At 36.6% G+C, this 11,343-nt stretch overlaps 1 annotated feature.

The window, feature by feature from the left end:
- Positions 10,423–10,623: a silencer, noted in NCBI's record as "peak3654 fragment used in MPRA reporter construct". NCBI's record gives its function as "represses an SCP1 promoter by STARR-seq MPRAs in K562 erythroleukemia cells {active_cell/tissue: K562}" and the evidence as "EXISTENCE:reporter gene assay evidence [ECO:0000049][PMID:32103011]".

Genomic DNA, 11,343 nt, shown 5'->3' on the forward strand with positions numbered 1-11,343 from the left:
TTTAAAACGCTACCATGGGGAACGAAACTGACAGACGTGTGAATCATGCTCCTCCCACAAAGATCACTTCTTTGGTTGTCCAGTGCTGACACCTGCCTTAGATACCTCCACCTTCCAAACTCTTTCTCCTCCCTTTTTATCTCTTTTCATTGTATGCTTAGTGAATACTTATTTTTTTAATCCTCTTAAAAACAAAACAGAAACAGAAAGAGAAAGGTAGGCAAGCAGGGATAGGGAAGGGCATGGAGAATCTCAGGAGCTCTTAATTCCACATTTCCAAGTTCTAAAAGCTTTTCTGAATCAAAAGATAATTGTATAGGCTTAAGGTTAAACACATATAATCATAGTTTCTTTGGGGAGTCACCATATCTGATGAACAGAAAGGATGATATAACCACAAGCTGGTGGAATTCATAGTCGAGGTCCTTTGACAATGTAATGTGTGCAAAAATGTTGTTTATAAAAAAAACTTTACTGCAAAACTTTTTAGTTCATTAGACCAGAGTGACCAAATCACACACTGGCATACAAATGTTAAGGATGAATTAGCCTTTATTATTTTTGTTATTGTTATTGTTAAATTATTTCCACCAAAATTTAGGAGGTAGAGCCAATGATAAGGTAAGAAACTGCATTACTGATGTAAAAGGAGATGCAGTTTTTTTCTTCTTCAAAACCCCATTTAATAAGCCTCCCCTCTGTCAGACTTTTCCTGACCATATAACCTTTAAGCAGAGCCACACTTACCTCTTCTGTATGCCTCTCAGATATCTAGAGTATCTTAAACGCAAATGTTAGCTAAGTGAATGAGTAAATGAATAAAAAAAAGTTCCCAACCAAATGACATTTAACAAATCAGATATTCCTGTTAATTTGATTTTGTTGAATATTATTAATACAAGCATTTTATTAAAGTACCCAGAGACAGAAAAAACTTGTATTTATATTTGAATTGAATCACCTATTATATCCTTTGTTTTGATAGCATAAACCTGATATTAGTGCTAAACTTTATCATCAAATTTTTTGTAGATAACTTAGATTTTACAAAAGTATTAGGATGTAGCCATAAAAAAGAAAAGAAAAGAAAAAATGCCAATAGAAACTCTTAACTTGGAGTCTTACCTAAAACAATTAATGGTTTTCTCTAGGAAATCTCACAGTATTCACTACAATATATCCAAAGATCCAGCACCCACTTTTCTTTCAGAAAAAAAAAATAGTAACTGCTCATGAGAATAATTGGACGTGACTAGAGTGGGGATTGAGAGTGTTCTAGGTGTTGTTAATAATTGCATTGCTGGGGTTTAGCTGTCTTTTCTCTTTTGAACATTTGTCAGAGGAAACAATACAAGTATACATGTAATACAAGACAAATTGTGGATTGGGTCCATGGTTATCTATAGAGAGACATGGAAGTCAACCAGAGATCATCTTCCCTAATGCCAAGACTTGACTCAAGCTCTCCGAGCAAGAATGGAAAGAAGTCCTGAGCAAGAGCTTATGGCATTGTTTTCCCAGGGTTCAGAACAAATAATTGCTAATGTGTTCTTCCTTACTCTTTAGCTTATTTGAGAGATTACCATGAGCTAAATATAAAGTGCATTATTAAAGATGAGTCTGAGGAAATGACTTTCATCATTAAATATATCATGATTGTATGCAAACAGCTTAAAAATGAAAAAAATAAGCTATCATGATGAAAAGAGAGAGATCGATGGCCCTTTTGGAAGAATAAATGAGTTTATTACTAGAGAAAGCTGACATGGGAAAATTAACTGTCTTGGTAATTCTGTCAAAATATATCTTTAAATCCCAATGTTTATCAGTATCAAATAATGCAAATGTTAAAGACTGTGTCTTTGTGGCTTATTTCAGGTTTATTTCTAAGATGTTTTTATTGTAAAGAATATTGTGAACCTGCCTTGGGACCATTTACAGAGATGTCATGGAATCACAGTGTGGGCCTTTGGACTATGTGGCTTCTAGCTTTTCAGTGCCTTTTGTACAATATGCTCACACATTGATTTGCATGACTATATTAAACTATATTAATTTGCACGACTACGTTAAACTCTATAATTGCTGTTACATTCTCAAATAACTTATAATTATTCCAATACTGATTATTTCATTTGTGGGCAACTCCTCTGTTTTCCTTTTTTTTTTCTTTTACTGTATCTTATGCCACTTCCTCAACAACATCTGAAACATGAATAAGAACGATTCTGAAACATAAATGATGCATTATTCTTACACTTCTTTGCATCTAGTTCTACTTTCATGATTTTTCTGAAATAAATCTCTGAAAATACTCACTAATGAGAAAATGTAACTGATTCCTTTCACTCTCCATACTTATCCTTTCTGTAGCACCTTACGCACGTGAAACAATGGAGTAAGAAAACTCTGTCTGGACGTGTCTTCTCTGGCTTCTGTGATGTCGTGAAGTTATACTCCCTTTTACTCTTGACTGTGTCTTCTGTCTCCTTCATTGACCCTTCTTTCTCATTGACCCTTTATATAAACACGTTAGAGTACATCATTAATATTTTCTCTTTTTCTGTTTCTTTTTTTTTTTTTTTTTTGAGACAGAGTCTCGCTCTGTCGCCCAGGTTGGAGTGCAGTGGCGCAATCTCGGCTCACTGCAAGCTCCGCCTCCCGGGTTCATGCCATTCTCCTGCCTCAGCCTCCCAAGTAGCTGGGACTACAGGCGCCTGCCACTACGCCCGGCTAATTTTTTATATTTTTAGTAGAGACGGGGTTTCACCATGTTAGCCAGGATGGTCTCCATCTCCTGACCTCATGATCCACCTGCTTCGGCCTCCCAAAGTGCTGGGATTACAGGCGTGAGCCACCGCGCCCTGCCTATATTTTCTTTTTCTATAGTCACTCAGTTGGTTACCACATCTTTCAATTTTCTACAGTATAAAGGTGACTCTGAAGTTCACTATAAATGCCTCAGTTTTCTCTTACATTTTGAGAAAATAATTTTAAAATCTACATGTCAAAAAATTTAGGTTTTGGCCAGGCGTGGTGGCTCATGCCTGTGATCCCAGCACTTTGGGAGGCTGAGGCAGGCGGATCATGAGGTCAGGAGATTGAGACCATCCTGGCTAACACGGTGAAACCCCGCCTCTACCAAAAATACAAAAAAATTAGCTGGGCATGGTGGTGCGTGCCTGTAGTCCCTGCTACTTGGGAGGCTGAGGCATGAGAATCGCTTGAACCCGGGAGGCAGAGGTTGCAGTGAGCTGAGATCGAGCCATGGCACTCTAGCCTGGTGACAGAGCAAGACTCCGTCTCAAAAAAAAAAATTAGTTTTATTTTAATTATTTTAGTTTCTCATCCACAGTCTTAGTATGCTTGGGCTGATATGACAAAAGACCTTAGACTGAGTCATTTATAAACAACAGAAATTTACTGCTCATAGTTTTGGAGGCTGGGAAGTCCAAGACCTTAGACTGAGTAATTTATAAACAACAGAAATTTACTGCTCATAGTTCTGGAGGCTGGGAAGTCCAAGATCAAGATGCCAGCAGATTAGGTGTCTGGTGAGGGCCTGTTCCTCATAAATGTCACCTTCTATGTGTTCTCATGTGGCATAAGGAACAAACAAGCTCCCTCAGACCTCTTTTATAAAGTCACTAATCCTGTTCACCACTCTCTAACCTCATGTCTAGTTATTTCCCAAAGGCCCTACCTCTTAATACCAACACATTGGAGATTTTAATGTATGAATTTTAGAGGAACATGAACATTCAGACCATATCATCCATCCATTTCCAAGCCAACTTCTTTCTTTGTCCAAATGTTATCATTTACTGTATCTCCCATATTCAAAATTTGGGGTCAATGTTGACTTTACCTTTTAGCTTGCATGTAAGATTCAGTCACTTGCCAGGTCTTACTGAATTTATAAACTAATTCATATTAGTGCTAAACACTTACTGTATATGACAGATTATATTTAGCACTTTGTATTATGTTATATATAATAATAAATATATGTGTGTGTGTGTTTGTGTATATATATATGTGTGCGTGTGTGTGTGTATATATATATATATATTTATTTATATATATATATATTTAGAGGTGGAGTCTCACTTTGTTGCCCAGGCTGTGTGCAATGGTGCAATCATAGCTTACTGCAGCCTCAAACTCCTGGGTTCATGTAATCTTTTCACCTCAGCCTCCCAAGTAGCTGGTACTACAGGCATGTGCCACCACACCTGGCTATTTAAAAAAAATTGTAGCAATGGGGTCTCACTATTCTGCTCAAGCTAGTCTCAAACTCCTGTGCTCAGTGATCCTCCTGTGCTGGCCTCCCATATTGCTGGGATTACAGGTGTGAGCCACCATGTCCAGCCCATATATTATTTTTATACTCAAAATATGACAGTGAGTGGGTTACTACTGTCCACATTAGGAAAATATTGAAATAAGGGTCTAGTATGTATTAGTAACTTACCTAAGCAAGTCAGAAACTGGAAAGAGCCTGAGATTTAAACCCATTGTTTTTCTTTTTTAACTACAAGATCTGGTGCTCATTCCACCAAACTGTATCACTTTTGTTACATCCATCTACTTCTTTTACATCTATCTACTTCTTTTAAATCTTAATTCCAGATAATAGTACACCTCCCCTTGCCTGTACTCTGACTCTAATTCCATGATGCTCCAAATTTTCCTAAATTTCATCTTTATCATATGACTCTTCAATAAATTTTTTTCCCAACTGTTTGCAAATTATATAGAAACCCATTAAGTTCATCAGGTAGAGGTTTTTGCTATAGTCAGCAGATGCTGACTTGGTATAAGCTAAGCAAAACAAAATAAAAAAACAAAGCAAAACTACACACACACACACACACCCGCCCCGCACACACACACACACACACACACACACACACAATTTATTGGCGGGATATTTAGGAGCTCACTAAAGTAAAAGAGAAACAGGGCCTTGGGAAGGAGGAGAAAGGAGAAAGTGGACAACTTCTAGTAGAGGACTCGTGAAACTTGCATGATGATGCTATAAATGACTGACTCAACTCCAACAGCCATTTGATGCGTGCACTTCCTTGATCAAGACTCAAATTCTTAGGTGACAAAGTGATTGGCCTAGTTTGGGTTGCATGTCCACCTCTTGGCAGAGTGTAGGGGAGAGGAAAAGGACTACATTGATGGTAATTCTAACTGGATCATATGGTAAGAAAACTACTGTTCACCTATGGACTGGAGAAGAGGCACCCATAGACATAAATGACAGGTGTTCATATGCAAGTGCTCCAGTGCAGCTGCAAGAATTATCATGCTGCAGGCAGTTGGTGATAATACCTTCTTCAGTATTATCACCAAGTACCTCTTCCTATTTGTTCAACACAGGAATTTTCTCCATTTTCCACACATGTTGTAAGTAAGCCTTTCAGGCCACTGCTCCCTTTAGAATTTTTGCTTCTCTTGTGTTTTTATCTAACAAAAGTCTTCATATCTATATAGGCCCTGCCCAAATATTACTTTGTTATTACAATTTTAAGATTTCTATAGACAGGTAATTGATCTCTCTTTTCCTTTCCCTTAGCATGTCCTTTTCTCAAAGTGTCCCTTTACTTTCAAAATCTGCCTTGTCTCTTTTCGGCTGAAATGTGAATGCTTTGATCACATGTGCCATGACTTATTCATCTCAGCATCACCGCTAAAGTTGAACACAAGTTTCTGTAAGTTGTAGTGATTAAAAAATATAGGCATAATAATCTTTCTTGTGGCAATTCTCTTACTGTTGGTTCAAAGTGCTGGATTTAATCTACAAGGTGGCAATGTCATTTATCTCCAAACTGTAATATCCTTGATGGGAAATTGCACACAGTATTTATCATTATTGACTATTACATAGTAGGTCATGAATAAATGTGTTGATTCATTCCTTGATTTAATATTTTTAATAGTAATGTAACAGAAGGAAAAAGATAAAGTTACTAAAAGGAGAAGGAAGGAGGACATAAGCTAAAATTGGCTAGAGATTTTACACAGAACACAGCTATGAGGTGGGCATTATCATTCTTAGTTTACTCATGAGAAAATTGAGGTTTATATGGTGTTAATTTCTTACAGGTAATAAAATTTATATCCTAGATTTGTCAAGTACTAAAGACTGCTCTTTATCCTAATTGAGAAGTTTATAAATCTAAAGTAATGCATATACATGATTTTTTAAAAATCCAATAATCCAATGGGTTTTATAATAAAAATGAGCCATACTTTGCCCTAACCTTTCATATTCCTGAGGCAGCCACTCTTAATCATTTCTCTTTGGAGTTACTCTGGTGATTAGCTCAATTTTTCTAGGTGATATGTATGTGTTGCTCTCTGTTGACTGATTATAAGCAGTAGATGGCCATTCTTATAAGCCATAAGTAGCCATTCCTCTTCGAACAAGGAATGAAAAAAACGCTAAGAATAAATTATAGAATACTGTAACAAATCGACAAGATAAATCTGTGTCGCATATAACCCAGTAGGACAAAAATTCTTAGAAGAGGAAATACAGTTGTCCAATCAACATAGGAAACTATTCTAAGCACAACGACTAATCAAGAAACTGTGAAATCTATCAGTGAAATCTCATTTTCAACCAGGAGACTGGAAAATATAAAACCTTAATAATATCGGAATGCAGGAAAATGAACACTCACATGCAGTTTTGTAAGGAGTGGAAATTAGCAAATGCACATTGGAGGGCAATTTGTGCCCAGCCTACTATCCAGTGTTCCACCGCATTGTATTCTAAAGATAGGAACTGGTGCATGTGATCACAGACTTGAGTTTGAGGCTATTTACTGCAACAATGTTTGCACTAGGGAAAACTGGAAACATTTTCAATACTCATCTTTCACAAGTTGCCTGTTTATATTCTTTCCTCTTATTTTAATTGGCTATTTACATTTTTTTTTTGTTTTTAGGAGCTCCAAGACAATTTTGAATATTAATTCCTTGCTTCATGAGTTTTGCAAATATTTTCAGCTAAGCTCCCACTTACTGCCTAACGTCTCCATGTCCTTTCTCCCTTTCAAGGCTTTTCTCTCAGTTCTAATCTACTTTAATTAACAACTTTACCTTCACTTTGTGTTTTAGTTTTAGGATTGTCTTTCTTACCTTAAAGCCCAAAACATATTTTCCTGTATCTTCTGTTACCTTTGTGGTATTGTTTATTTTAATTCTTTCAAAATCCCATTATTCTTATTTTCATGATCCATTGGCATAAAAGGAAAGGAGCTTTATGAATTTTTCTTGCCTTCCAACAATTTTCTAAATCACGTATTCTTTAATATGACTCATATTTGAACCTCAATTTCTTTGACAATTTTTTTTGCCCAGGTTTGCTGACTGCATTCCTTTCTTTCTCGTAGTAAAAGGGAAAAACAAAGTGGACTTTATAAATTGCTTGCTTTCAGCCTTATTTGACCTTATCTCATTGATTTTGTCCTCTTTGCTCTCCCAGATCTGGAGCAATTCAAGAGCTCTGTTGGGCTTATTTTTTTCTTCTGGTCTTCTGAATCTATATAGCAGTCTCCTCTGTTCTGTTTCCTATTTGCACCTGCTGTGCAGAAATTAACAAAATGCCTCATTTATTTTTAATAAGGATTTATAATATTTATATTTCTTTAGTATTATTGTAATTGACACTGTGGGTGGAGGGGTCATGTAATATAGCTCACTATCTTGTAAAAAATCTGCTGCACACCTGTTATCTCTATACTATCTGTTAATATCAAGTGGGATGAGCTGTGTTCTTTTTGGGAAAAAATAATGAGAGACAAGTTTTATGTACGAATTTAAATGGAGTATCTTCAAGTTTCAATTGTTTGAACTCTAATTGGTCCTCGTTAGCAAGATTCAACCATTTTCCTCAATTATATCCATACATATTTTAATCAGGATTCAGTTGGACTCTTTTTGTTCAAAACTACTTATTTCAAATTTCTCAAATGCCTTAAAGTTGAACCAAGCCATACATCTTTTAATGGCCATTCACATCGCTAAACAAAAATGTAAACTTACTTAATATAAAGGACTTATACAAATTATGCAGGCCGCATTCTTGAACTACCATTCTCATCTTTCTTACATGCTTTCCTGCTGCTCCTCCATTCATCTGCCTGGGATGCTTCACTTCCATCGCTACCCCTCCTGGGGTTGATGATACCCTGCTGACAGCTAGAACTCTATCACTGTCAGCTTGTGGGACACTGTTCCAACCTAAGGCACCTCAGCTGCCAACCATTTTTCTATTCTCATTTTCTACTGACTCTCTCTATTGTGATCAAGGGCACAAGTGACACCTTGACTAGTCCAAGCAGACGGAAGAGGATGCATAATGCTGCACAAATAGCAGATACCAAGCTTTTGGCAGATTTCAAAGCTGTCCACATTGAGGAAAAACAACCTAAATATCACTAAAAGACTCTAGCAAAGTCCAATATATCATCTTTCAAACTTTCATTTTTTCTTCAAAGAATAGGTACCTGGTTGTTTTTCCCTGACTTTACTCATTGCAGAATGTATGTATATGAGTTTGGCATGAAAGGAGAGAATTTGGAAGATAGCATCTAGAATGAGAAGCAGGAGAGCTGAAAGACCAAATTGGTGCACAGTGTTAGCCAGGAGATGTCTCTGGTACCTACCTCAGCACTTTTATCTCAATGATGCAATGGAAAGAAGAGGGAGAATTTTAAATGGGAAGAACATAAGAATATAAACAAATTCTTGCCGGCCCAGGTCAGATTGCAAATTAGGGCCACTCATCTCAGAGGTGTTCCCTTCTTTTCTCTTTTGTGTGTGGCTTTTTTACTTTATTTATTTATTTTTTTGAGACGGAGTCTTGCACTGTTGCCCGGCCTGGAGTACAGTGGCATGATATTGGCTCATTGCAACCTCCACCTCCCAGGTTCAAGTGATTCTCCTGCCTCAGCCTCCCAAGTAGCTGGAATTATAGGTGCCCGCCAACACGCTCAGCTAATTTTTTTGTATTTTTAGTAAAGACCGAGTTTCACTATGGCGGCCAGGCTGGTCTTGAACTCCTGACCCCGTGATCCACCCATTCCCCAACGTCCCAAAGTGTTTTTTCATTTTTCAACAATCTTTTTTTCTGCATTCCTCAGGGACTGGATCCCAGAGTAGCTCTTCTAGTTTCTCCTATTCTAAGGAAAAGTGAAATAAATACTTCACCTAATGTTGGTGATTATTTTGCTTCTCAGGGGAAGGTGCATTCTAACTTAAACACACATGATTTGATGGAATAAAATAGAAAGCCTAGAAAAAAGCCCTCACATATATGGTAAAATAAATGTTGACAAGGGTGTCATGTCTCTGTGGGAAGGGCAGCAAAACTTGTTTTCCTCAGAACACAGGCAACATTCATTGTGGCTGTATTGAATGGTACTAGAAAAAAAAGTCTATCCTGGGTGATGGGGTATAAAATCACCTGGTTTCCCAGGATCATACACTTACACCATTGGAGATCTGCTAATACTGAAGGAAAGGGAAGGGCAGGAACTCCTATTCAAAATCAACCTCAGGTAAAAAAGATGTACTGTGGCCATGAGGAGGTTATTATACAAAAGCAAGGGTACAACTGGCAATTAACATTTGACATCATCAATTTTACTGGAATCTTTAAGGAAGTCTTGCACTTTTCTAAAGTAATTTCCAACCCTAAAATTCTGTAATTTATTTTATGTTTGTACATTTTGTACAAAAACAAAATAAATAATCAACTCTTTAATTCAAGGTTTACTATCTGTATTACATTTTGTTGCACTTTTTAAATGTATGAACTAGAAAAAACTATATATTTAAATCTAATTTCTATCAAACTCGATTGAATTTGATTGTATGATAAGCAACTGTTAGATGAAGTAATCTGTAAACTCAAGCAATTGTTCTGGGCCACTATTGTATAAATTCTTATACTAGGCATGAGAATGTACTACCCCGTTCTCCTGAGAGTTGATTAGTTTAATTGTGACTATATATAATTCAACTATTTGCTTCATATTGCCAAACTTCTGCTTAAAAATTTTATACCAGTTTACAGTTTCAATAGCATTACATGGGTCCATTTTTTTGTATCTTCCTCAATGTTGGGAATTCTTCATAAGTTTTAATTGTTTGATAGGTGTGTATTTTATCTCTCTGCTTAATTAGTATTATTTTTACATTATTTTATTTTTGTCTTGTCTTTTAAATTTATTTCTTTGTAAATTATCTACTGACAATTATTGTCTATTAGGAAATATATCTTTAAAAAAAATTTGTAAGAACTCAGAGAGAAGGAAGAAGCCCTGGATATCAAACTGAGTATAGTAATGCAACTTAAAATTGTCCTTCTCGTTCCACTATTATATACAACTTTCTTACTTGCTTGAGAGAAAATTAAACCAATATAAATATTACTTGAAGAGAGTTCTCCCATAATGCAGCTATAATGCTCTGCTATATCACTAGAAGAATTTTCAGCACCATGGACAGCCTCAGAGTTCATCACTGTTTTCAAGGCTATATTGAGGAAAAAATGAGTAAATTTATGAAATTTCATCAAATTACCTGAACTTTCCAGATTATTTATCCAGTTCTACATTATATTTCATAATGCACTGATTAGAAAATTTTGTATATTTTCTTGAAATGATATTTTAATTAAAAATTCTATTGAAGGCTGGGCCTGGTGGCTCACGCTTCTAATCCCAGCACTTTGGGAAGCCGAGGTGGGAGGATCATGAGGTCAGGAGTTCAAGACAAGCCTGACCAACATGGGGAATCCTCGTCTCTACTAAAAATACAAAAATTAGCTGGGTGTGGTGGCGCCCGCCTATAATCCCAGCTACTTAGGAAGCTGAGGCAGGAGAATCACTAGAACCCGGGAGGCAGAGGTTTCAGTGAGCTGATATCATGCCACTGCACTCCAGCCTGGGTGACAGAGTGAGACTGTCTCAAAAAAAAAATCTATTTAAAATAGAAAAGGAATGTGTTTGCTCTTGCTTCTCTAATTCTTTTAATTGTGATGTTAGGGTGTCAATTTTAGCCCTCCCAAGACTAAACCAGGAAGAAGTTGAATCTCTGAATAGACCAATAACAGGCTCTGAAATTGAGGCAATAATTAATAGCCTACCAACCAAAAAAAGTCCAGGACCAGACGGATTCACAGCTGAATTCTACCAGAGGTACAAAGAGTAGCTGGTACCATTCTTTCTGAAACTATTCCAATCAATAGAAAAAGAGAGAATCCTCCTTCACTCATTTTATGAGGCCAGCATCATCCTGATAGCAAAGCCTGGCAGA

This window comes from Homo sapiens, chromosome 2 (assembly GCF_000001405.40).
Source record: "Homo sapiens chromosome 2, GRCh38.p14 Primary Assembly".
Lineage (NCBI taxonomy): Eukaryota > Metazoa > Chordata > Mammalia > Primates > Hominidae > Homo > Homo sapiens.